Here is a 27,892-nt window from a genome sequence, read left to right on the forward strand (position 1 = left end):
CCTTTCGCGCCGGTTGCCGCTGCGGAGCGCGGCGGGTCCATGTGCGCAGTGAGTGGCGCTATTCCTGGCCCAGTAGCACCCGAGCCCCGGGTTTGACCGAGTCCGCGCTGCGATGGACCCCAACACCATTATCGAGGCCCTGCGGGGCACTATGGACCCAGCCCTGCGTGAGGCCGCGGAGCGCCAGCTCAATGAAGTAAGGACGCCCGGCTAGCGGTGGCGGCGGGCAGGCGGGTGGGCAGAAGTGGCAGGCCGAGCCCCCGGGGCCTGGCCGGAGGCGCGGACGACGTCGTTGAGGGTCCCAGCAGGAGGGTGGGGCGGACATCTGACGGCGACTTCCACGCCGGGGCGCCTCGGTGTGGTGTGGTGGTGGTGGCTGCAGCCAAGGCTGCCTTTGCTTCGGATCCTGAGCTGGGCCTCTGGCTGCGGTCTAGGCATGAGGAGCCGGCTGAGGCGGGGCGGGCGTGACGGGTTGGACACATGGCTGGCTCGGGTGGCTGGCCGACCTCTGGCTCATTCCCAGCTGGTTCCTCACGTCCAGGAGGGGGCGAAACTTACTGGGAGGTTTTTCAGATGTTTCTGAGACCAGTCTCGCCGTCGCAGGGTTTGGAAGGGCTCCTGGGAATGCCGGCTGGTCCTTTGGGGGCTGCGCCTGTCATCCTTGTCACTTTGCTGGGCTGATCAGTGGCCTGCCTCGGGCACAACTTCCTCCTCTCTGGCTGAGTTGCTAGGGAAGGCTTTCAAAGGCAAGCCCGCGCCTCCTTGGCAGGATAGGAGTAGTGCGGGACACTCACAGAGTCTGATCCCTGCTTTTCCGCTGTCCTAATGCTTCAGTCGGGGAGCTGGCTTATGTAGTGGGAAGGATCAGGTGAAGTGCACCCTTCTAGGTATAGCTGCACCATTGATTCCTTGAGTGACCTTGGGCCAGTCGCTTAACCTCTTGATCCTGAGTTTTTCCCATTCATAAAATTACGCCACAGAGTTGCTGTGACAGACAGGTGAGATAATGTTAAGTCTGAGTGCCTTGGAACATGCTGAGCTCCTTATCAGTTCAGATATTGCATTCTCTGAAGGTTTTTTTTTTCCCCCATATTTTGTGGGGACCGCTCCTTGGAAAACAGCTTAATTGCATGAATATTTATTGTACTATCTCCAGTGTCATTCTTTGTTTCTAAACTTTTGCATTTTTACGTATTAATGATCAGTATTTTAAATCCTTCTTAAAAGGGCTGCTGTAACTTTTCTGCCAGTTAGTAACTGTCCTTCAGCATGCTGCTGAATCTGCCAGCTTTACTGAACTTTAGTGTACATTTTTTAACTGAAAAAGAAATCACACTTTAAAATAGAAATTCAACTATTTTATGCGTCTTTTAGCTGGTAAGTAAATAATTTAAAAACATTGTTTATATTGACTTACCAGAAACAGCAGAAATATTACTAACTGGACTTTCAGTGTAAAGGGCTGCACTAGAGATCCCTGCCCTCACGGAACTTACAGTTCAAGAAGACTACCTACAGAGTTTACACAAATTAAATGTAAAATTATTTCAGAATGTTAAATCTATTTTATATGTAAATGAGATCATTATTATACCACACAAAGTGATGATTACATGTTCAAATTTTTAGACTCAGAGTCACCTTGGGAGGAGCTTAGATTTTTTTGGATATAAAATAGTGAGTTGAACCGTATTACCATTTTGAACCATTACCAAACTATGGAAGGAGCAATGGATCACTTTTTGTTTTGATTTGCTTAGTGATAGACATGGGTTAAGTTGAAAATTATTTTGCTTATTAAATAGTAATGCAGTTACAAGCCTAGAAAAGCTAAAAGTTTAGTCATGGTCATTTCTACCATGACTTTGCTCTAATCGCGTATTATTTTGACTAATTATACTTGCATGTAATTATTAATTTTAAAAGTGAGTACTTGAAGAGTTGGTTTGCTTCTACAAAAATGGGGGAAATAATACTTCCTGAAAATCTGAAATTCATTTATTCCTCAAATAGACATTACATGTCTAGTATATGCACTAACATCTTGTAGTAGAAACCTGGGGTATTTCACAAGCTAGTTTTTGGAAGATAAACAAATGATCAAAATAGTATTCAATGCCTTTTTTACTTAACCATTAAACTACTGTTTTGGAATACTGTCAAACAGTGAACACCGCTAATCTGTCAAAGAAAATTTGTTACATGGCCTTTATTTTTGTAATCCTTAACTATTTACATTTCATACATTTCTTTCAATTATAACACCTAGATTTTTAAATATTCTTCCTAAGGTAAATTTTCTATTAGTATATTTACTTTCATTCCATTTTAATACACTACTTCTCCCTCTCCCTTCTTCCATTTAAATATTTTTTGCTTTGACTTTCTTGTGGCAGAACATTGATTTGGGAGACAGATCTCAGACAAGTCTTGAATATTGTTAAGAATGAGGAAGTAACATTTCTGAAAGGCTCTTGCTTTGGAGAAGATAGAAGAACGAATTATTCTATGATGTCTCTCATTCCAGTGAAGCTGTGTTTTGGTTCATTTAGAACCAAAGAATAAGATCATTGACATTTGAATGAATCTCTTCACAAAGTGAAATAATCACTGACTCAATGTAAAATTTGTAAATGTTATTAAAGTGTTTATAGTATAGACAGTTTCGAAACAAAATAGCCCTTCTGCCTCAGAGTCTTTGCACTTAACTCCTTGGAACTCCTTTCACATAGTTATCCCCCTAACTTGTTCTCTCATTTCCTTCCATCCCTGTTCAAATGTCTCCTTATCACTGAGGAGTTCCTTGACCATCATACTCCCTATCTCCTTTCACTTGTTTTTCTCTATAGCACTGATTTGTCATACATATTTGGCTTACTTTTAAAATTAATTTTATTTGGCCAGGCACGGTGGCTCACGCCTGTAATCCCAGCATTTTGTGAGGCTGAGGCGGACTGATCACTTGAGGTTGGGAGTTTGAGACCAGCCTGACCAACATGGAGAAACCCCATCTCTACTAAGAATACAAAATTAGCTGGGCGCGGTGGCGCATGCTTGTAATCCCAGCTACTCAGGAGGCTGAGGCAGAAGAATCGCTTGAACCTGGGAGGCGGAGGTTGCGGTGAGCTGAGATCGTGCCACTGCACTCCAGCCTGGGCAACAGAGTGAGACTCCATCTCAAAAAAATTAATTAATTAATTAAATTTAAAACATTGGCTGGGCATGGTGGCTCATGCCTGGAATTCCAGCACTTTGGGAGTCCGAGGCGGGCGGATCACCTGAGGTTGGGAGTTCGAGACCAGCCTGACCAACATGGAGAAACCCCGTCTCTACTAAAAATACAAAATTAGCTGGGCGTGGTGGCGCATGCCTGTAATCCCAGCTACTAGGGAGGCTGAGGCAGGAGAATCGCTTGAACCCGGGAGGTGGAGGTTGCGGTGAGCCGAGATCGTACCATTGCACTCCAGCCTGAGCAACAAGAGCGAAACTGCGTCTCAAAAAATAAAAATAAAAATAAATAAATAAATAAATTTTTTTTTTTTTGAGACGGAGTCTTGCTCTTGTTGCCCAGGCTGGAGTGCAGTGGCGCAATATGAGCCCACCGCAACTTCTGCCTCCTGGGTTCAAGCAATTCTCCTGCCTCAGCCTCCCAAGTAGCTGGGATTACAGGCGTTTGCCACCACACCTGGCTAATTCTGTATTTTTAGCAGAGATGGGGTTTTACCATGTTGGCCAGGCTGGTCTCCAACTCCTGACCTTGTGATCCGCCCACCTCGGCCTCCCAAAGTGCTGGGATTACAGGAATGAGCCACCATGCCCAGCCTATTTATTTATATTTATTTTTTGAGACAGGGTCTTGCTCCATCACCCAGGCTGGAGTGCAGTGGCACCATCATGGCTCACTGCAGCCTCTCCCTCTCGGGCTCAAGCAACACTCCCACTTCAGCCTCCCAGGTAGCTGAGACTACGGGGATGTGCCACTATGCCCAATTAATTTTTGTATTTTTTGTAGAGACAAGGTTTCACCGTGTTGCCCAGGCTTATTTTTAATTTTTTCAGAGCTAAGGCCTTGCTATGTTACCCAGGCTGGAGTGCAGTGGGCTCCACTGCACTACATAGTACACTACAGCCTAGAACTCTTGGCCTCAAGCAGCGTCCTCCCATCTGAGCCTCCCAGGTGGCTGGGACTGCAGACACGTGCTACCACGCCTGGCCTAATTTTACTTAACTTTTCTTCTCCCCACTATAATTTTAAGTTTCTTGAGGTCATGAATTGTTATTTTTTGTTATTGTTATTCCTTGATTTCCCAGTAATAGGCTTTATGACTGACTTCCTGTTATAATATTAATAAATAACAGTATAGGCTTTAGCTCTTTTATTTATTTTTTAAAATTTATTATTATTATTATTAGTATTTTTGTGGCAGGTTCTCACTCGGTTGCCCAGGCTAGAGTGCGGTGGCATGATCTTGGCTCACTGTAGCCTCCAATCCCAGGTTCAAGCGATTCTCAGTCCTCAGCCTCTTGAGTAACTGAGACTACAGGTGCCACCACATCTGGCCAATTTTTGTATTTTTAGTAGAGACGGGGTTTCGCCACATTGCCCAGGCTGGTCTCGAACTCCTGACCTTAAGTGATCCACTCACCTTGGCCTCCCAAAGTGCTGAGATTACAGGCATGAGCCACCACACCAGCCGGTGTTTTTAAATATAATGCCAGGAAGATTTTTATTAAATACTCATTCCGAAGGATAATTCCCAGTCTGGTTCATGTAACAGCAAATGTCTGTGTGCTAGGCACTGAGCTAAGTAGTTAGATGCAGAGAAATTTATGATCACTGCCTTTCTAGAGCTCCATAATCACCACGTCACTGGCCCATACAATACATGTGGTCAGTACTATAATAAAGCTACATGTAAGTTTTGGATGACGAAACTATTAGATCTGATTTTGGCTAAGGTGGATATGATCTCCGCATCAATAGTCTTTCCCCTGTTATATTCGCAGTCAAGAAAAATGCTGTAAGTGGAATTAGAGGGTTTACCCAGGAGACATTTAAACTCTTAGTTCCTAAGCTCAATATGGTATATAATGGTTATATATGTATATACACCTTTTTTTTTTTTTGAGTGGAGTTTCGCTCTTTTTGCCCAGGCTAGAGTGCATTGGTGCCATCCGGCTCACTGCAACCTCCATCTCCCGGGTTCAGGCAATTCTGCCTCAGCCTCCCGAGTAGCTGGGATTAAAGGAATGCACCACCACACACGGCTAATTTTTGTGTTTTTAGTAGAGACGGGGTTTCACCATGTTGGCCAGCCTGGTCTTGAACTCCTCACTGCAGGTGATTGCCCACCTCAGCCTCCCAAAGTCTTGGGATTACAGGCGTGAGCCACTGCGCCTGGCCTAATTTTATATTTTTAGTAGAGACGGGGTTTCGCCATGTTGGCCAGGCTGGTCTCGAACTCCTGACCTCAGGTGATCCGTCCGTCTTGGCCTCCCAAAGTGCTGGGATTACAGGCCTGAGCCACCGTGCCCGGCCTAATGGTTTTATATGTACAGGCAGCAGTGCTACTTTCTCACTTGCTTTATATGAAAAAGTGATCTTGCTTTTGGTAAGTTTCTTGATATTTTGTGTGTGTGTGTGTTTTTTTTTTTTTAACTCACACTACCCTGGATCACTTTTGGGATTGTCACAAAAGGTTAACTATTACTGCTGTATGTGATATACCTTACTTATAAATGGTTCATTTGATTCCATTTTATTAAAAGTATTTAATGAAAATCTTAGGTCTGGAAAAGTGTAAAATAATGGCATATTTGTAAGATAATTTGGAATGTTTAGAAATTAAGCAAAATATTTTAGGAAGACCAGAGTAGCCTGTAGTTTAGATAACATTCCTTCACCAGGAATATTTTGAAGTACTGTTCTGAATTTGGGAGAAGGAAAGTCCCTGGATACTTCGGCTGTTAGATAGCAAGTTATTCAATGATATAGCTTGTTAAAGATCTGAAAGAGTTTGGGCGCAGTGGCTCACGCCTGTAATCCCAGCACTTTGGGAGGTAAAAGCAGGAAGAGGATCGCTCGTCCAGGAGTTTGAGACCAGCCTGGGCAACATACAAAAAAAATTTTTTTTTTTAGCCAGAGCCTCGCTCTGTCACCCAGGCTGGAATGCAGTGGCGCAGTCTTGGTTCACTGCAACCTCTGCCTTCTGGGTTCAAGCAATTCTCCTGCCTCAGCCTCCCGAGTAGCTGGGACTGCAGGCGCCCGCCACCACTCCTGGCTAATTTTTGTATTTTTGGTAGAGATGGGGTTTCACCTTGTTGGCCAGGCTGGTCTTGAACTCCTGACCTCAGGTGATCCACCCGCCTCTGCCTCCCAAAGTGTTGGGATTACAGGCATGAATCACAGCGCCCGGCTGCTAAATGATTTCTAATAAAAAAGTTTTTTTTTAAAGTTCCTAGTTGGAGGTCAGATGCGGTGGCTCACGCCTGTAATCCAGCACTTTGGGAGGCCGAGGTGGGCGGATCACAAGGTCGGGAGTTCGAGACAAGCCTGATCAACATAGTGAAACCCCGTCTCTACTGAAAATATGAAAAATTAGCCGGGTGTGGTGGTGGGTGCCTGTAATCCCAGCTACTTGGGAGACTGAGGCAGGAGAATCACTTGAACCCGGGAGGCGGAGGTGCAGTGAGCCAAGATCACGTCATTGCATTCCAGCCCGGGCAACAGTGCAAGACTCTGCCTCAAAAAAAGAAAAATAAAATAAAAGTTCTGGCCGGGCATGGTGGCTCACGCCTGTAATCCCAGCACTTTGGGAGGCTGAGGTGGGTGGATCATGAGGTCAGGAGATCGAGACCATCCTGGCTAACATGGTGAAACCCCATTTCTACTAAAAATACAGAAAATTAGCTGGGCATGGTGGTGGGTGCCTGTAGTTCCACCTACTCAGGAGGCTGAGGCAGAATGGCATGAACCTGGGAGGCAGAGCTTGCGGTGAGCAGAGATCACACCACTGCACTCCAGCCTGGGCGACAGCAAGACTCCATCTTAAAAAATAAAATAACATAAAACTTCCTAGTTGGAAAGCATAAAAATAATATTTTAAAATTATTTTTATTGTTATTATTTTTTGAGACAGGGTTTCACACTGTTACCCAGGCTGGAGTGCAGTAGTATGAACATGGCTCACGGCAGCCTTGACTCTCCTGGGATTAAGCTATCCTCCTGCCTTAGCCTCCCAACTAGCTGGGACTACAGGCGTGCACCACCACACCTGCCTAAGTTTTTTATTTTTTGTAGAGACGAGGTCTGTCTTTGTTGCCCAGCCTTGACTCCCAAGTGCTAGAATTACAGGTGCGAGTCACTGCACTTGGCTTATTACTGTTTTTTTAACAAAGGCAGAGGGACGCAGTGAAGAGCCTTAGCCTTGTCCTGAGTCTACGACTATAATGACTTAACCTCACTATGCCTTATATTTCATGTAGCCAAGGTAGATGTCATATTTGCCTTTGTCAAATTCTTTTTTTTTTTTTTTTTTTTTTTGAGACGGAGTTTCGCTCTTGTTGCCCAGACTGGAGTGCAATGGCACAATCTCGGCTCGCCACAACCTCCGCCTCCCGGATTCGGGCAATTCTCCTGCCTCAGCCTCTTGAGTAGCTGGGATTACAGGTATGCATTACCACGTCCGGCTAATTTTGTATTTTTAGTAGAGACGGGGTTTCTCCATGTTGGTAGGCTGGTCTCGAACTCCCGAGATCCGCCCACCTTGGTCTCCCTAAGTGCTGGGATTACAGGTGTGAGCCACTGTGCCCGGCTTGTCAAATGCTTTAGTAACAAGAAAGGTTAGAAGTTCCTTGGCTCTTGAAATTACCTGGTTGTATTTAATGTAAAAATCTGATAGCACGGGATTCTTCTACCTCCTGTGTTCCTTAAAAATGGTCTGAAGTATAGTAGCTAATTGAAAGTCTCTTTGGTTATATTTCAATGGAGAGAAATAATACAAAGTTACAGTTTTGGCCGGGTGCGGTGGCTCAGGCCTGTTATCCCAGCACTTTGGGAGGCCAAGGTGGGTGGATCATCTGAGGTCAGGCGTTTAAGACCAGCCTGGTCAACATGGCAAAACCCTGTCTCTACTAAAAATACAAAAATTAGCCGGGCATGGTGTTGCGTGCCTGTAATCCCAGCTACTCAGGAGGCTGAGGTATGAGAACCGCTTGAACCTGGGAGGCAGTGGCTGAAGTGAGCCAAGATTGCTCCACTGCACTCTAGCCTGGGCGACAGCAAGACTCTGTCTCAAAAAAAAAAAAAAAAAAAGTTACGGGTTTGAAGAGTATGTTTTAAAAGATACTGACATTAGTGATTACATTGGAAAATGTGGGTCCAGAGGGAAAACTGATTTTGAAGACATGAGTTACATACAGAGTGTCTAGTTTGAGGAGCTGGTAAACATCAAGTAGAAAAAGTCTAGCAGGCAATTGGAATGTGGAGCTGAAGTTTAGGAGAGAAAGCAGCAATGGAAAAGTGATATTCTTCTGCAGGCAGGTGATTACAGTAGTATGATCCAAAGGTATGGGATGGACTAGAGGGCTAAACTTTCAACCATGCCTATTTTGGGTACTTTGATAAACATCTGAAAAAGCAGACTGGAGATTTTGGGCATAAAAGTAAGAGAGAAGCCAAGAAAGATAATTTTAAGAAGGTTGCTTGTGGTTAGTGGTTAGTTTCCTTTTTCTTTTTCTTTTTTTCTTGAGACGGAGTCTCACTGTTGCCCAGGCTGGAGTGCAGTGGCACAGTGACAGCTCACTGCAACCTCCGTCTCCTGGGTTCAAGCAGTTCTCCTGCCTCAGCCTCCCTAGTAGCTGGGATAACAAGGCAACCACCACCACGTCCGGCTAATTTTTTTATATTTTTAGTAGAGAAGGAGTTTCATCACGTTGGCCAGGCTGGTCTCGAAGTCCTGACCTCAGGTGATCCACCCTCCTCGGCCTCCCAAAGTGTTGGGATTACAGGCGTGAGCCACCACACCAGGCCTAATTTCCTTTTTCTTACATAGATTTAATAAATTCTCTACCAAAGAGCATGAATTACTTTTGAAAATGAGTAAAAAATTTTTAGAAAAAAGAAAGGGGTGTTGATACTCCTAAATGAGAGAGGTTAAACAAACTGAAGACTTTCTGGGAAAATGCATTAAAGTATCAGTAACCTTGGAAAAGTAATTTCTAATTTTTTTCTTTTAATTTTTTTATTTTTTTGAGACAGTCTCTCTCTGTCTCCCAGCTGTAGTGCAGTGGTGCTATCTCGGCTCACTGCAACTTCTGCCTCCCAGGTTCAAGTGATTATCCTGCCTCAGCCTCCCAAGTAGCTGGGACTACAAGCGTGCGCCACCACGCCCAGCTAATTTTTGTATTTTTAGAGATGGGTTCCACCATGTTGGCCAGGATGGTCTCCATCTCTTGACTTCGTGATCCGCCCTCCTCGGCCTCCCAAAGTGCTGGGATTGCAGGCGTGAACCATCGCCCCCAGCCTTTTAATTTTTAAAATTATTATTAATTTTCCACGCAGTCAGAGGGGAAAGCAATTTCTGATTACAGTGTTAGTGAGTGGAATGCTAGTAAGGGGGCAGGGATAAGATTGTAAGTTAAAAGGGTGGCCATATTGGGAAATTCGTTGATGTGAGAGTGTGCGTTTTTCTTTTTCTATTTTTTAAAGTTGAGCTTATTTTGGGTGGCAGAGAAAGCAGCAGGGAAGCTTGGCTGTATAGTAGAATAGGGGCCTAGGTTTTTGAGGCCTGTTGCTACTACCTGTTGTACTAATAGTTTTTCATTCATGTTTTATAGTCATCATTCCTTGAATTACATTCTTCATTACATTCTTCACAGTGCTTCAAGAACTCATTTTCCTATAGCATAAATCTGATCATGTATAACCCTTCACAAAAAATTCATACTCTTTAAATTTTTTGGCCACAACCTACCAATTCATTTTTATCTTTCACTGTTCAAAGTCTTCTCTGATTTCTGAGTTTACGTCCCTTAGGTTCTAACTTGAAATTTTACTTATTAGCCCAATTGGAATTAAACTCCCAACATAACTTCATACTGATCTTTTTTTCTCCATAGTGTCTGGCGCATTGTCAGTACTAGTAAGTAGAATGGAGTTGGGTTTGTTGAAGAATTTTGATGAGATGAATTAAGTGTGACTATTGAAATTATCTGGGTTGATGACAGATAATGAGAAGGTTCAAAGATGTCTAGGAAGGTGATTTTGTGTTATGGTTAAGAGCTTTTAAAACTAGAGTATTAGGAGTTTTAGCCCTAATTAATGATGTATAATGACTCATTTGGTGCTTCAGTTCTATGCTAGAATCCAGGAGCTTGAGAAGGGGACTACTGGGCATATAATTAGGGGCAGCATCCAGAAGTTATATTTATATTTTGACTCATATAAAAAATCTATTGTAGCATCTTCTGAGGCCTGTATTGATGTTTGCCAAATTGTTGACAATAATACCATAATTGCCCAAATTTTAAAGGGTTTTTGTGATAAAGATTGAAACTAGTGATATTTTTAATTAAGCTTATTTTATTTTTATTTTTATTTTTATTTTTTGAGATGGAGTTTCACTCTTTTCGCCCAGGCTAGAGTGCAGTGGTACGATCTCGGCTCACTGCAGCCTCCACCTCCCAGGTTCAAGCCATTCTCCAGCCTCAGCCTCCTGAGTAGCTGGGATTACAGGCGCCCCCCACTGTGCCCGGTTAATTGTATGTTTACCAGAGATGGGGTTTCACCATGTTGGCCAGGCTGGTCTTGAACTCCTGACTTTGTGATCTGCCTGCCTTGGCCTCCCAAAGTGCAGGGATTACAGGTGTGAGCCACCGCCCCCGGCCCTCACTTGTTACCTTCTTTGGGAGAATACAAGTCTTCATGTCTTAAGGATTTCAGGTGGGTAGAAATGTGTATGGGGCAGCTAGATGGATGTCCCTGGTTGAGATTGCCTGTGCTATATCCCCGCTAACAGAAATATACTTTCTTATTTTTACTTCAGCTTAGTTGTCTGAAAGTTATAAAGTTATGCTTTTTTTTGAGACGGAGGCTCACTCCGTTCCCCAGGCTGAAGTGCAATGGCGCAATCTCGGCTCACTGCAACCTCTGCCTCCCAAGTTCTAGTGATTTTCCTGCCTCAGCCTCCCAAGTAGCTGGGATTACAGGCAGCCGCCACCACGTCTGGCTAATTTTTGTATTTTTTTTTTAAATAAAGATGGGGTTTTACCATGTTGGTCAGGCTGGTCTCGAACTCCTGACCTCAGGTGATCCACCCGTCTCAGCCTCCCAGAGTGCTGGGATTACAGGCGTGAGCCACCATGCCTTGCTGAAAGTTATGCTTTTTTTCATCCATTGCACTTTTAAAATTTATACTTATATGTTTTTGAAGGTAATAAGGTTAATAAAGTGTTGAGTGTTGGGCCGGGCGTGGTGGCTCACCCCTATAATCCCAGCACTTTGGGAGGCCCAGGTGGGTGGACCACTTGAGGTCAGGAGTTGGAGACCAGCCTGGCCAGCATGGTGAAAACGCCTCTACTAAAAATACAAAAATTAGCTGGGCGTAGCAGCACATGCCCCTGTAATCCCAACTACTCAGGAAGCTGAGGCAGGAGAGTCATTTCAACCTGGGAGGCGGAGGTTGCAGTGAGCCGAGATTGCGCCACTGCACTCCGGCCAGGGAGACAAAGCGAGACTCCATCTCAAAAACAAAGTCGTAAGTGCTTATTTTCATAGTTCAGTGTTGTCGATTTAACTATTCACACATTTAAAGTATGCAATACAGTGGCTTTTAGTATGTTCACAGTTGTACAGCCATCACCCAATCTTTAAAACATTTCCATCACCCCACAAAGAAAATTCATATCTTACCAGTCACTCCGCATTCCGCCCCGACCCCATTCCTAGCCCTAGGCAACAATCCTATTTTCTGTCTATGTAGATTTGTGTATTCCAGACATTTCATGTAATTGGAATCATACAATATGTAGTCTTTTGTGACTGGCTTCTTTCATACAGTATTGTTTTCAAAGTTCATACATTGTTGTAACATGTATCAGTATTTCATTTTTTAAATTGCCGAATAGCATTCTATTGTATGTATCGATAAGACACATTTTACTTTCATTAGTTGATGGGCATACAGGTTGTTTCCACTTTTACAGTATTATGAGTAATGCTGCTGTGAAAGTTGGGGTAAAAATAGTCTCAGTTTTGTTTTTTTAAGTTAAATCTGGGTAACCAGCACCCAGACCAAGAGACATGTAACATTTTCATTGGCCTAGAAAGTTTCCGTGATACTCTTCCTATTCAGTACTGTTTCTCCTCCAAGTTACTATTTTTCTGACTTCTATTACTATAGGTTAGATTTGCTTGCCTTAACACACCTAATGTTGCTATACATCTGTCCAGCCAACAAAAACAGTGGTGGTTTTTGTTGTTGTTTAGGGTTGAGGTCTTGCTTTGCTGCCCAGGCTGGAGTGGAGTGGTGTGATCATAGCTCACTGCAGCCTCGAACTGCAAACGCATGCTTCCACTTCCAGCTATTATAATTTTTAGGCTGGGCGCAGTGGATCACGAGGTCAGGAGTTCAAGACCAGCCTGGCCAAGATGTTGAAACCCCGTCTTTACTAAAAATAATTTAAAAAAAAATATATATATATATATATATATATTAGTCGGGCACGGTGGCAGGTGCCTGTAAATTTTTTTAAATTTTCTGTAGAGGTAGCATCTTGCTATGTTGCTCAGGCTGGTCTTGATCTCGTGACCTCAGGTGATCCTCCTGCATCAGCCTCCCAAAGCACTGGGATTACGGGTGTGAGCCACTGTGCTGGGCAGTTTTTGTTGTTCCAACATGGCTTCCAAACATAAACCAACAGTTTAATCTGGGGTTCTAATCATATAAAGTAGTCTGTTTCAAGTTAAGGAAAAACTTCAGTGTTGGGATCTCAAGAGAGATTGTATACGCAAAACCATGTATGTGTGCTTTGTGGGCGATTTAAGGAACTAAAGGGTAACTTGGCTATACATCGTTTACACCTTACTGATGTTAGAGCATACTCTGAGAAAGGTGAGAGTCTACTGAATATGGATATACAAAGGATATAAAATTTGTTATGTCTTGATATTTGCTAAGATATTTTCTGTGTTGTTTTATATACTCCTTGTAGCCATCCTGTGAAGTAGATTTTATTATTCCTATTTTGTAATTGAGACTTAGATTTACTGAATCAACTTGTTGAAGGCTTAGCATTCTAGGAAGTGGCATCACCTAGATTTACAACCAAGACTATCTGATTGCAGCAGTTCTTTCCAGGAATTCATGATTTGATGCAGGAGAGAAGATACATACTGTAATGTAAATGGTCTGAAAACTGCCCTAGTAGTGTGGATAGTAGTGTCCTTTGGGCTCATCTGTCTGTCCCTTAAATATAAAAACCTTTCTCACTCTACACTGCCCCTAGGCAATCACATCTTCCAAGGCATTTATTTCTTGGCTCTTCCAATTCATTCAGTGAATTTTTTTAATAGCTTAAATGCCACGTGTCATATGAAGAACTGGGGATATAAACAGTATAGTTCCTACTCAGTGGGGCTTAGAGTCTAATTAATAGGAGAAACAGGCATAAGACCCATCTACAAATATAGTAAACAAATATGTAATAAGCATTATGAAGAAAAATAATGGTTATGAGAGCAATAGGGAGCCCTACTTTAGCTTGAGTGATCAGGCAGAAAAGGCTTCTGTAAGGAAATAATGTTTAAGCCGAAACCCAAAGAATGCGAAGCTGTGAACCAGTTAACTGGTGGAGCATGCAAGAGAAGGATGTTGTAGGTAGAAAGACACAGCATGTACAAAGACTCTGAAATGAAGTCATGTGTTTCTTTTTGCTTTTATTATTTTTTAATTGATACATGATAATTGTATAATACATATCTATGGGATACAGTGGTGTTTCAGTACATGTATACAACAACGTAATGATCAAATCAGGGTAATTAGCATATTCATCTCAAATGTATATCATTTCTTTGGGCTAGGAACATTGAAAATCTGCTTCTAGCTATTTGAAAATATACAATAAGTTGTTGTTAATTATGGTTACCCTACAGTGCTATAGAACACTAGAACTCACTAGTTCTATCTAGCTGTGATTTTGTATCTGTTAAATATGTTTCTTTCTTGTTGAAAGAACCTAAAGGCTGGTAGGTGGGGCAGTGAGTGGAGCGTGTTGAGAAAGTTTTTAAAAATGAGGCTGAAGAAAATGGCAGGGACAAGATGTCTTCATGTAGGACCTTGGAAGGTGCAGTAGAAAGCTTGTTAAAAGGTTTGCTTAAAGGGGATTGATTTATAATTTTAAAAGATCTTTGGCTGCTAAATGGAGAATGATTGGGGGCACAAATAGTTAAATTAAGAGGGATGATAGTCACTTGGACTAGGTTGGTGTTCATGGGAATGGAGAAAATGGATGCTTTTTTTTTTTTTTTTGACAGAGTTTCACTCTTGTTGCCCAGGCTGGAGTACAATGGCACAATCTCGGCTCACCACAACCTCTGTCTCCGGGTTCAAGCGATTCTCCTGCCTCAGACTCCCGAGTAGCTGGGATTACAGGCATGCACCACCACCCCGGCTAATTTTGTATTTTTAGTAGAGACGGGGTTTCTCCATGTTGGTCAGGCTGGTCTTGAACTCCTGACCTCAGGTGATCCACCCGCCTCGGCCTCCCAAAGTGCTGGGATTACAGGCGTGAGCCACCGCGCCCGGCAGCATTTTAAAGAAGGATTTTGGGTATAGAATTGACAGGACTTGATATATTAAATTGGGTTGATGAAGAGGAAGGTGGTGAGGATTACTGTGAGGATAGTGATGAGAGGTTGGGAGAAATGGTGCAGGGAAGTAGAGTAATAATTTTCAGTGGAAAATTATGCTTTGTAAAGATAGTGATTGGATGAGATCATCTGGGGAGAAGAAAGATGGCCTATGACCAAGTCCTGGTGAATTCTAGCATTTATAGATTAAACAGGATGAGAAATCAGTAAAGGAGCCTGAGAAGGAGAGAGACCAGAATAAATGGTATGCTGAGTGGCATAGGTGGAAGGGTGTTTAAGTAAAGTGACAATGGTTGGCAATGTTCACATCTAGGGTAGTGGAAAGGGTCAATACCTCCCTTTCATCCACCTAACTCCTTCTGTTCAGGTCTTCTGTATTAGGGGATCCTCCTTTTGATTCTTCAATACTGTTACTTCTTCCATTACACACTTTTCCCTTGGTAACTGAGGGACTGGTTCCAGGACCCCCACGGATATCAAAATTCATGGATGCTGAAGTCCCTTAATATAAAATGGTGTAGTATTTGCTTATAACCTGTACACATCCCCTGAACACTTTAAATCTTTTTAGATTGCTTTTAATACCTAATACAATGTAAATGCTACGTAAATAGTTGCTGTACTTATATTAAGTACTGTTTGTATTATTTTTATTGTTGTATTGTTATTTAAAATTTTTTTCCCCCAAACATTTTCCATCTGTGGTTGGTTGAATTCATGGATTTGAAACCCACAGATATGGGGGCACCGACTGTATTTTATTGCAGTTATCTATTTGGTTATCTTGTTTTTCTTGACAACACTGTAAGTTGCCATGAGGTCATAGAGCCCGGTTGTCATATTCAACCCTGTAGCCTCAGCTGCTGGCATAATGTCTTATAGCACAAACACCTAAATAAGTAATTTTTTTTTTTTTCTGAGACCTAATCTCGCTGTCGCCCAGGCTGGAGTGCGGTGGCGCGATCTCGGCTCACTGCAGGCTCCGCCCCCGGGGTTCACACCATTCTCCTGCCTCAGCCTCCAGAGTAGCTGGGGACTACAGGCGCCTGCCACCTCACCTGGCTAATTTTTTGTATTTTTAGTACAGACGGGATTTCACTGTGTTAGCCAGGATGGTCTCGATCTCCTGACCTCGTGGTCCGCCCGCCTCGGCCTCCTAAAGTGCTGGGATTACAGGCGTGAGCCACTGTGCCCGGCCTACTAAATAAGTAATTTTTGGAGTGATTGAAAGAATAAAGTCTAGATTCTAATGTGAAATAATTTTTTACATTCAATGGAAAATTATATTCAAAGGAAAATTCTGCACCCAGCTGGAAAATTCTCTATAAGAATGTGTTTGCAGAGTGGGGTAAAGTCTGTAAGAAGATACTAAAATAGCTGGGCGCAGGTGGCTCCCCCCTGTAATCCCAGCACTTCAGGAAGCCGAGGCGGGTGGATCACCTGCAGTCAGAAGTTCGAGACCAGCCTGGCCAACATGGCAAAACCCGTCTCTACTAAAAATACAAAAATTAGCTGGGCGTGGTGGCATGTGCCTGTAATCCCAGCTACTCTGGAGGCTGAGGCAGGAGAATTGCTTGAACCTGGGAGGTGGAGGTTGCCGTGAGCCAAGATTGCACCATTGCACTCCAGCTTGGGCGAGAAGAGTGAAATTCTGTCTCAAAAAAAAAAAAAGAAGATACTAAAATAAAAATCAAAATATTGTTCATGTGAACATGTGTAGAAAAATACTTGAGCTAAAAGATGACAGTATAAGTGGTGGTTATATTGGGACAAAGGAGAATGAAACAGAAAATATAGAAGAAGGGATTTGACTTGAATGTTAATTTTTAAAAGATTGTTTTGCCCTGCACTTCAAGATAAAATGTTCAGTTCTTTAAATGAGAAGCAGGCTAAGTGTGGTGGCTCATGCCTGTGATCCCAGCACTTTAGGAGACTAAGGCAGGAGCTCCTGAGCCTAGCTCAGCAGTTTAGGACCAGCCTGGGCAACATAGCGAGACCTGATACCTAACAACAATGGCAACAAAGCAAACAAAAAATTAAAAAAAAAAAAAAAAATCAGAAGCAAATATGACAAATTTAGGAATATGTAACCTTTTTGTACCATTAATTAAAGTGATCCAGGTCTATAATGTAAAATGTGGAAAATTTAAAAATTTTAAAATGTGGGAAATTCTATTGCATATTCATATAAATGTATTAAATTATGATTATATAGTCTATTGTTTTATTGTATGTTCAAAGCTATTGATTTTTAACTTTTCTTTTGAAATGTAACATGTATACACAAAGGTGGTCATAAAGGTACAGTCAGTTTTCACAGACTGAGCACTCTTGTATAAAACAGCAGTCATATCAAGAAATAACATTATTACCACCTTGGACACTACCCCCAAACTATTCATTGCAATCCGCCTGCCTTGGCCTCCCAGAGCCACCATGCCTGGACTAAACTGTTCATTTTTATTGATTTCGTATGTGTCTGGCCATTTAATGAAATGTTTCTATGGAGAAATTACTTAAAAGAGGAAACAGGTGTCACAGAGGGTATTGTTTTTGAGCTGCTGTCACCAGTGTAGGTTAAGAATGCTAGTTGGAGGGCCTGGCATGGTGCCTCGTGCCTGTAATCCCAACACTTTGGGAGGCCAAGGCGGGCAGATCACAAGGTCAGGAGTTCGAGACCAGCCTGGCCAATATAGTGAAACCCCGTCTCTATTAAAAATACAAAAATTAGCCGGGCATGGTGGCACGTGCCTGTAGTCTCAGCTACTCAGGAGGCTGAGGCAGAAGAATCGCTTGAACCCAGGAGGCAGAGGTTGCAGTGAGCCGAGATCATGCCACTGCACTCCAGCCCAGGCGACAGAGCGAGACTGTGTCTCAAAAAAAAAAAAAAAAAAAAAAAAAAAAGAATGCTAGTTGGGGGTCAGACGCAATGGCTCACGCCTGTAACCCCAGTACTTTCAGAGGTCGAGGCGGGTGGATCACGAGGTCAGGAGTTCGAGACCAGCTTGGCCAATATGGTGAAACCCCGACTCTAGTAAAAATATAAAAAATTAGGGCTGGGCACAGTGGCTCACACGTGTAATCCCTGCAGTTTGGGAGACAGACGCAGGCAGATCACGAGGTCAGGAGTTCGAGACCAGCCTGGCCAATACAGTGAAACCCCGTCTCTACTAAAAAAATACAAAAATTAGCTGAGCATGGTAGCGCTAGTCCCAGCTACTCAGGAGGCTGAGGAAGGAGAATCGCTTGAACCCAGGAGGTGGAGGTTGCAGTGAGCCGAGATCACGCCACTGCACTCTCGCCTTGGGGGCGACAGTAAGACTGTCTCAAAAAAAAAAAAAAAATTAGCGGGGTGTGGTCATGTGCACCTGTATGTAGTCTCAGCTACCCGGGAGGCTGAGGCAGGAGAATCGCTTGAACCTGGGGAGGCGGAGGTTGCAGTGAGCCAAGATTGCGTCACTGCACTCCAGCCTGGGCGACAGAGTGAGACTCTGTCTCAAAAATTAAAGAAAAAAGAATGCTAGTTGGGATAAATGGGAAGTGCAGTGCTATACAGGCTAATGAAAACATCCAAAAAGTTTTAGAATTTAAGTCATCAAATTCCTTAAAGTTCAATATAAGGGAGTGATGAGAAATAAGACTGGAACCAGTTATGAAGAGCCTTTTGTGCAAGCCAAGCAATGGAAATGTATTGGAGCCTCTTTGATCTGTAATTTTAAAGTATATTTATTTGCAGAAGTTTAAAATGGACTTTTTTTCTTTGTAGGCACACAAGTCTCTGAATTTTGTCTCAACACTGCTCCAGATTACTATGTCGGAACAGCTGGATTTACCTGTGAGACAGGCAGGCAAGTTTCCTAAATTATATTGAGTGTATGTAATCTATTGTTTAAAAGGTTCATAATCGAATAGCAGAAGTGTCTTGGGATGGCCCTTTGGCAATTTTTTCCCCCCAGGTAATTTGTTTACCTTCAGTGTTTACAGCTAACATCAGGTACCTTGATATCTGGTGGCAGAGTTTAAAGGAATAATTTGACATTTAGTTGAATTAAAATAGAAGCTTCAAATAGAAATTGATGGGGTTTATTAAAAGGTTCTATGTATTTTTAGAGTCCTTCCCTGATGGGTGATTATAAGACTCAAACATGTTTGTTTATATAGTCATCTCTTACCACCTTTTTGCTTTTATCGTTTTAACAGTTTAAAAAGTATTATACTATTTTTAGTTCCTGTTCAACATATTGAGCCACTTCCCTCAGTATCAAATAGTCTGAAAATGTGGCATACTACTTTTCTGAATATTATGTTAGTCTGTAAAAAATAATGTAGTGTACATTTTTAATTTTTTTTATTTTTTGTAGGCAGTCTCACTCTGTCCTCCATGCTGGAGTGCAGTGGTGCGAACTCGGCTCTCTGCAACCTCTGCCTCCCAGGTTCAAGCGATTCTTCTGCCTTAGCCTCCTGAGTAGCTGGGATTATAGGCGTGAGCCACCACTCCCAGCCTTTTCATTTCTTTTTAATTTATTTGCAGATGTAATAATTTTGTTATGGGAAATACAAAGTACCAATAATTTCATCATTCTAGAAAAACAGATTACATTTTTGTGTTATTTCTTGCTGTTCTTTCCCCCTGCACCTATTTTGTTAAAAATTTTGTTGGGGCTGGGTGCAGTGGCTCACGCCTGTAATCCCAGCACTTTGGGAGGCCAAGGCGGGGTTATCACAAGATCAGGAAATCGAGACCATCCTGGCTAACACGGTGAAACCCCGTCTCTACTAAAAATACAAAGAATTAGCCGGGCGTGGTGGCGGGCGCCTGTAGTCCCAGCTACTCGGGAGGCTGAGGCAGGAGAATGGCGTGAACCTGGGAGGCGGAGCTTGCAGTGAGCCGAGTTGGCGTCACTGCACACCAGCCTGAGCAACAGAGTGAGAGACCATCTCAAAAAAATAAATAAAAAATAAAAAAAAATTGTTTTCTCACTTCACTTAATGTTGTATACTGAGCATTTCCCTTTTCTTTACATAGTTCCGGTCTTCGGATTTTTTTTTTTTTTTTTTTTGAGACGGAGTCTCGCTCTGTTGCCCAGGCTGTAGTGCGGTGGCGCGATTTCCGCTCACTGCAAGCTCCGCCTCCCGTGTTCACGCCGTTCTTCTGCCTCAGCCTCCTGAGTAGCTGGGACCACAGGCGCCCGCCACCACACCCGGCTAATTTTTTGTATTTTTTAGTAGAGACGGGGTTTCACCGTATTTGCCAGGATGGTCTCGATTTGCTGACCTCGTGATCTGCCTGCCTTGGCCTCCCAAAGTGCTGGGATTACAGGCGTGAGCCACCGCGCCCGGCCTTCAGATTCATATTTTAATGGCTAAATAATTAGCCATAATATGCCATATGCAGTAAACTGTTAAAATTTTTAGAAATAGAATTTAGTCTGAAGTCTGTTTTGTTAACAGTATATTTTCATTTTCAGTGACTAAAATGTTGCCTAGTACAGTGTAGGTACTCAGGAAATAAATGAATTTAAATTATCACTTTAAATTAATTAATTAAATAACCTGGACTCTGCTAGGCAGATAGGAATTATTATTATTATTATTATTTTTAGACAAACTGGCTGTATTGCCCAGGCTAGAATTCAGTAGCTCCATCTTTTTTTTGTTTTTGTTTTTTTGAGACGGAGTCTTGCTCTGTCGCCCAGACTGGAGTGCAGTGGCGCGATCTCGGCTCACTGCAAGCTCCGCCTCCCAGGTTCACGCCATTCTCCTGCCTCAGCCTCCCGAGTAGCTGGGACTATAGGCGCCCGCCACCACGCCCGGCTAATTCTTTGTATTTTTAGTAGAGATGGGGTTTCACCGTGTTAGCCAGGATGGTCTCCATCTCCTGACCTCGTGATCTGCCCTGCCTCTGCCTCCCAAAGTGCTGGGATTACAGGCGTGAGCCACCGCCCCCGGCCCTCAGTAGCCTCATCTTGACTCACTGTAAACTCTGCCTCCCAGGCTCAAGCCATCCTCCCACCTCAGCCTCCTGAGTAGCTGGGACTGTAGGCACGTACCATCATGCCCTGATAATTGTTGTATTTTTTGTAGAGATGGCGTCCTGCCATATTGTCCAGGCTGGTCTCAAGCTTGTGAGCTCAAGTGATCTGCCTTCCTGGGCCTTCCAAAGTGCTAGGATTATGGGCGTGAGCCACCATGCCTGGCCATGACTTCTTTAAAAGCAAACAATTTTATGTAAATGACTGAACTCCCTGGTCAGCAGTAAATCTTTTTGTAAATATTTCTAATTTAATAGAAAAGGGTAATTTTTATTGTCTCCTTTCCCTCCCTTCCCTTCCTTTCTTCCTTCCCTTCCTCCTTTCCCTCCTTCTCTTCCTTCCTTTCCTGTCTTCCACAGGGTCTTGATCCTTGCCCAGGCCGGGGTGCAGTGACTCAGTTATAGCTCATTGAATCTTCAAACTTCTGGGCTCAAATAATCTTTCTACTTTAGCCTGCCAAACATCTGGGGCTGCAGGCATGTGTCACTACACCCATCTAATTATTTTATTTTGTAGAGATGGAATCTCACTATGTTGCTGAGGCTGGTCTTTTTTTTTTTTTTTTTTTTTTTTTTTTAGTAGAGACGGGGTCTCACTGTGTTTCCCCGGCTGGTTTCGGCTTCCAAAGTATTGAGCTTTACAGGCGTTAGCCACTATGGCTGGTCTTGAATTGCTGACCTCAAGTGATCCTCTCGCCTCAGCCTTCCAAAGTGCTGGGATCAAAGACGTGAGCCACTGTGCCTGGTCTTGTTTCTTTTTTATATATATTCAAGTCTCATTTATCTTTTACTAGTGAAGCTCACATTTTCCCGTTTTTAGATAAGAGTCTGCCTTTAAATCCAAATTTTTACTAAGAAGTTAAGTGTTTGACCTTTAGGAGTGATATTAATAAATTCTAGAGACTTGGTTATGTGTATTAGAAAAACAAATTACACTGGGAAATTGTTTTAGTGTGTACACAATTGGAAGGAGTTAAACTATGGAATTGGTCAAAAAATTTAAAATATCATTAATTTAAAAGTTATATACTTGGGGCTGGCCACGGTGGCTCACACCTGTAATCCCAGCACTTTGGAAGGCCGTAGATGGGGGATCATTTGAAGTCAGGAGTTCAAGACCAGCCTGGTCAACATGGTGAAACCCTGTCTCTACTAAAAATACAAAAAAATTAGCCGGGTGGTAGTGGCATGCACCTGTAATCCCAGCTACTCAGGAGGCTGAGGCAGGAGAATCGCTTGAGCCTGGGAGATGGAGGTTGTGGTGAGCTGAGATTGTGCCATTGTACTCCAGTCTGGGAAACAGAGTGAGACCCTTTCTCAAAAAAGAAAAAAAAATTATGTTCTTGGAATAATTGAATGAGATTTCTGTAGTGCATGGCATATGGTGGTTTCATCTGCTGGATTTCGAATGATTAGTTCATTCTGTCTTTGCTCAAGCATTCTGGCTAGAGTAGACTGAATCATGAGATCCTTACAGTGCAATTCCAAATTCTGTATTGTTGGGGCAAAAAATGTTTAAAATTCCGAATCACATAAGCATATATTCCATTCTTTACTTAGAATGGAAGTATTCAGAGGTTGCATCCAGAGACATTGGGACTGTTGTGTGGTCTTAGTATTGGTCTCTATTCTGTTTTGGAGAAAAAGAACCAAAATTCTGTAGTAGTAATAACCTGGACTTTGTTGGTCCTATTTGATTCTTTATTGTAGGTGTAGTTTATTTTAAAACCTTGGCTCACGCCTATAATCCCAGAACTTTGGGAGGCCGAAGTGGGTGGATCACGAGGTCAGGAGAGCGACACCATCCTGGCCAACATGGTGAAACCTTGTCTCTACTAAAAATACAAAAATTACCTGGGCATGGTGGTGCATGCCTGTAAACCCAGCTACTCGGGAGGCTGAGGCAAGGAGAATCGCTTGAACTAGGGAGTCAGAGGTTGCAGTGAGCCGAGATCGCACCACTGCACTCCAGCCTGGTGACAGAGCAAGACTCCATCTCATAAAAATACCTTGTTGAGGGGTATTTTAATATATAATCTTAATCTATTTGAATTACTATAATATGGAATATTTAATTCCTAAATTAAAGCAAACTAGAATATAAAAATCCTATTTCTGTCGGTTATCCTTGTTCAAATAAGTACAGGACTTGAGATAAGAATTGCTAATTAGAGAAGATCGAGTGTTTTGCAGAATTTAAGAATTAATTTTGGACAGTTTCCCTTTACAGTACATCTTACAGATTTGTGACTCTGTTCTCCCCCACTCTCTGAAAGTGCTGGGTAAAAAGCTTTGCTAGCAGCCTGGATTTTACCACTTCATCAGTTTGTTAACTTTTGTCAAATAGCAATGTGCAAAGGTAGCAGTATGATAACTGACAGAAAAATAGCAATCTGTAATTTCTGAACACAGTAAATTCTCCCATAACATAATTTGAATTTGAAGTGGTATGGGATTGAAATACTTAAATTTATAGATTAAGAACCTTTATATGCTATTATTTTTCTGTGATAAGAACTGGTTTTTTTATTACCTTTGTGTGATTAGTTGTAGAAGCTATGTTGGGATATGTATGATGGTTTTGTCTTTAGAGGCTTCATTTAGAAAACTGATTTGATTTAATTTAACTCTCCTGTAGAAAACAGGGTTAAAAGTGTTGTGACGTTAAAAAAAAACAGTTTTCTCTGGGGTTGTTTATTTGCAGAGTTTTCTTATGCTGTGTGATTCGTAATAACTTTGTGCTTGATTGCTGTAACAGTGTTCAATTTGTGCATTATCAACTTTAAAAATAATTGAATGTAGTATTTTGTTAATGAAAGCATAGCTTTACAAACGGTAGTGTGAAAGAAATACTTGAGGTATGGACACTTGTGGGATTTTCACAGTACTTTCACAGTAAACATTCTTTTGTCAAACTGATCTGTATTTTAGGTGTTATCTATCTGAAAAATATGATAACACAGTATTGGCCTGATCGAGAAACAGCACCAGGGGATATATCCCCTTATACTATTCCAGAAGAAGATCGCCATTGTATTCGAGAAAATATTGTAGAAGCCATTATCCATTCTCCTGAGCTCATCAGGTATGTATTTTTAAAATTTACCCATTTCTGCAGGTGTGTAACTTTCAGGGTTTTTTGTTTTTTGGTTTTTTTTTTTTTTTTTTTTTTTTTTGAGATGGACTTTCCCTCTGTGGCCAGGCTGGAGTGCAGTGGCACGATCCTTGCTCACTGCAGCCTCCGCCTCCCAGGTTCAAGCAATTCTCCTGCCTCTCAGCTCCACGAGTAGCTGGGATTACAGGCACATGGCACCACGCCCAGCTAATTTTTGTATTTTTAGTAGAGACAGGGTTTCACCATGTTGGCGAGGATGGTCTCGATTTCCTGACCTCGTGATCCAACTGCCTCGGCTTCCCAAAGTGCTGGGATTACAGGCGTGAACCACTGCACCCGGCTTTTCTGGGGGGCTTTTGGGGGCTTTTCAGAACATATAGGCCTGTTTTTTTTGTAGCAGAAAACTTACCCAACAGATGCTGTTGTAGGAGAATGCCTTAGTCATTTTTTTTTTTTTAAGATTGAGTCTTGTTCTGTCACCCAGGCTGGAGTGAGGTGGCGCAATCTCGGCTCGCTACAGCCTCTGACTCCTGGGATCAAGCAATCCTCCTGCCTCAGTCTCCCGAGTAGCTGGGATTACAGGCGTGCACCAGCATCCCTGGCTAATTTTTGTATTTTTAGTAGAGACGAGGTTTTACCATGTTGGCCACGCTGGTCTGGAACACCTGACCTCAAGTGATCCACCTGCCTAGGCCTCACAAAGTACTGTGATTACAGGTGTGAGCCACCATGCCTGGCCTGTAATTTGTTTTCTTACTACAGTTTGATTTCACATTGACGAAACCAAAAACTTCATATAAAACTTGTGGGCCGGGCACAGTGGCCTCAGCCCCCGGAGTAGCTGGGATTACAGGTGTGCACGACCAGGCCCAGCTAATTTTTGTGTTTTTAGTAGAGATGGGGTTTCACCATGTTGGCCAGGATGGTCTTGATCCCTTGACCTTGTGATCTTCCCGCCTGGGCCTCCCAAAGTGTTGGGATTACAGGTGTGAGCCACCGCACCCAGCCTAATTGATGTTCTCAAATGAAACTTGTTTATTGATGATAGGAATGAAAAATAAAACACCTGTATTTGTAACATTTGCTGGTTTTCGTTTGCTCAGTGACTTATTCTGAATCATATATATTCTGTGTACATCTAAAATCACTGGGTTATTTTGAAATTAGATTTTGTCTAAACAGCTATTTTCCTTTCTATGGGTTAGCAAAATCTTACCTAGTTAGGATTTTTTCCTTACTGTTTTTTTTTGGCTTCCAGGGTACAGCTTACTACATGCATTCATCACATCATCAAACATGATTATCCAAGCCGCTGGACTGCCATTGTGGACAAAATTGGCTTTTATCTTCAGTCCGATAACAGTGCTTGTTGGCTAGGAATTCTTCTTTGCCTTTATCAGCTTGTGAAAAATTATGAGTAAGTGTTTCTTTCAACTCCTATAGAGCTTTGAGAAGTAGGAAAAGTTGGGAAAATTTAAGCCAATTTGAACATGTAAAATTATATTTAGCATAGATAATAAAATTAGTGAATTATATGGTAATTTCAATTTATTATTTTCTTTTTGACATAGCATTCTAACTCCGCAGTTGCTTTTCTTTATTCTACTAAGAAACTCCTTGCACCCTTTTTTCTTAATCACCGTCTCTTTACCTATTCAAAAACTAAGTTGTCTCTAAAGACGGCCTCCTCAATGTGTGCTGATAAAAGTCCTTCAGGTAAGTTTTTCTAAAATGTGAAGGTGATCAGAATACATTGAGGATTAAAGCTCTTTATTACTTGTGGCTTTTTTTTCTGTGAATTTTTATCTTAATTTAGGCTCTTGATTAACTTCCTCTGATTCTTTAAGAAGAATTCATTGGAATTTCATGTGATCTTCTTTAATCAGTGTGTTTTGGGGGATTCACACTCACCTATTTCATTGTTGCATATTTAAGCAGATTATAGTTCATATAGGTCATTAGTATTAGAAAAAAAGATTTTAGGCCAAGTGATTATTTTAGATCTTGTTTTAGGGATCAGGAAAAAAAGATCTAACCTAGAAAGTTGAGGTATAGCACTGAGAGTGGTAAGCCACATGTTGAAGGAGTTTTTTAAGTCTATAGTTGATAGGCACTTGAAAAGGTTTGATGGGATATTACGAGGAAGGCATAAGGAAGACTTTTATACCATGATCGTGACTTTATTGCCAGTCTTAACAGCTACACAGATGCCATTGTGACCCCTCTAATTCTGGGACTTGCAGTTAGCCTCCAATACCCTCTTTGGGTCCCATCTCAAAGTGGCTGATGAACTGCTGCTTTTATTCTCTGAGCAGGAGAGAAATATACCATTTACAGCATTGGTACTGGTGTTTTCTTGTGTTCCCACCAGCTACCCATCTTCCTGCTAAGGAATGTTCCAGCTGTTACAGTTCTGGTAAGTGAGTGACTAAAATTGGAGAGAATAAAAACAATAAGCTGTCAATATCATTGAGGAGGTTCAAGGCCCTCCTGTCCCATAATCTTAGCAGGAGGGAATATGACAGGGATTTTTAAGTGGGAGATACAGGAGGCTGCTACATCATTGGAATTCAGTTCATTTTCAGCCAGTGTTTTCGTTGTGAAGCACAAGGTGTTCACAAGGGATCTGTGTGGACTGAAGCAGTTCTAAGAAAATTTACAGAGAAATTGGAATTTTTGGTGGTCCTCAGGAGCATAGATCCTCAGGAAATGCTTGTCAGTTGAAGGAACACAAAGAACATATGAAGAGGAAGGCGTGTCACACCATATGGAGTGGTATGAACAAAGAAAGAGATGGAAATGTGAGATGCTGTCTTTAGTGGGTAGTGAGGAGACTGCTTAATGGTGCTGATAATTTCCAGTGAGAGGTTGGGAATAGTTTTGGACTGGTAAATTGGGACCATGTTAAAGAGGGTTTTGAGTGCCAGAATGGGAAATTTGGATGTGATCTTTTAGATACTGAGAACCACTGAAATTTTTTTTTAACAGAATAGTGATAAGACTAGTATTTAAGGATTTTCTATGAGTATGGTTCTGCAGTTTGACACATCACAGCCTTGTGGTAGTAGAATTTTATTAGTGTCATATTTTCATCCTTTCAGGAATGTTCAGGTCTTACAGGGTAGTAATAAGTTTGGTACCATAATTTTTTACTCATTAGCTTAGATTAACAACTAGTACCACTCAACTCCCAGTCCACTATTCAGGGTATTGAGGGAGGTAGGAGAGAATATCTGATGTAGAACAAGTATTTAAACTCTCTTAGGGTGGGTGATGGACCTGTGATGCATAAATAGAGCTGCATAATATTAGTTCTCACTTTTAGTGTTTAAAGGGAATTTTGTGTATAATTGTAGTTTGTATAATCAGATTGGAGAGTGCAAATGGCTTTCTTTTGTGAATTGTTATTTTGTCAACTCAAAGGTATAGATAACCTTTTAAAATGTATGCTAGGTATAATTTGTTAGCACTTTAAAGTAATATTTGAAATAATTTGTCAGTAGATAGTGTTAATAGCTTTAGCAGTCATTGTTAATGTGAACATTCCTTTTTGTATTTTTTATTCCTGGTGATTTACTTTGTTACTCATTTCACCTGGTAGGAAAAAAAATAGCTTTTAAAAAGAGTCTCCCAGTATCATTTTAAAATGTACTCAGATACTCAATTCTTTATATTTTCTCTCTTAAGGAAGAGGGATACCAATAAATACAACTGGGATGTGCTATGGAAAACCAATTTAAAGCTGTTTTGATAATATCTGTTCCAAAAAGATAAGCTGTGGCTCTTAGAATAATGATTTCTATAATCAGTAATCTGTATTTTAAAAATTTAGTCTGCCTATTGACTCCTTAATAATGGAAGCTGGGGCTGGGAG

General features: G+C 42.0%; 1 protein-coding gene across 1 annotated transcript in view, besides 2 other annotated features; it reads left to right on the top strand.

Moving 5' to 3' along the window:
- The window catches only part of IPO7 (importin 7), a 63,476-nt gene continuing 35,584 nt past the window's right edge, over positions 1–27,892 (top strand). Inside the window, exons 1-4 of the mRNA NM_006391.3 lie at positions 1–196; positions 18,639–18,720; positions 23,835–23,988; positions 25,277–25,435. Of these exons, the coding sequence (NP_006382.1) occupies positions 113–196; positions 18,639–18,720; positions 23,835–23,988; positions 25,277–25,435 (479 nt within the window). The 5' untranslated portion in view covers positions 1–112. The remainder of the gene's footprint in view (positions 197–18,638; positions 18,721–23,834; positions 23,989–25,276; positions 25,436–27,892) is intronic.
- Positions 3–518: an enhancer, noted in NCBI's record as "NANOG-H3K27ac-H3K4me1 hESC enhancer chr11:9406201-9406716 (GRCh37/hg19 assembly coordinates)". NCBI's record gives its function as "activates a minimal SCP1, AML or CMV promoter by ChIP-STARR-seq in naive H9 embryonic stem cells {active_cell/tissue: H9 hESC(naive)}" and the evidence as "EXISTENCE:reporter gene assay evidence [ECO:0000049][PMID:30033119]".
- Positions 14,702–14,867: a silencer, noted in NCBI's record as "fragment chr11:9420900-9421065 (GRCh37/hg19 assembly coordinates)". NCBI's record gives its function as "represses an EF-1alpha promoter that drives an FKBP-Casp9 reporter gene in an ReSE screen in K562 erythroleukemia cells {active_cell/tissue: K562}" and the evidence as "EXISTENCE:reporter gene assay evidence [ECO:0000049][PMID:32094911]".

The sequence above is a fragment of the Homo sapiens genome, chromosome 11, assembly GCF_000001405.40.
Source record: "Homo sapiens chromosome 11, GRCh38.p14 Primary Assembly".
Taxonomy (NCBI): Eukaryota; Metazoa; Chordata; class Mammalia; order Primates; family Hominidae; genus Homo; species Homo sapiens.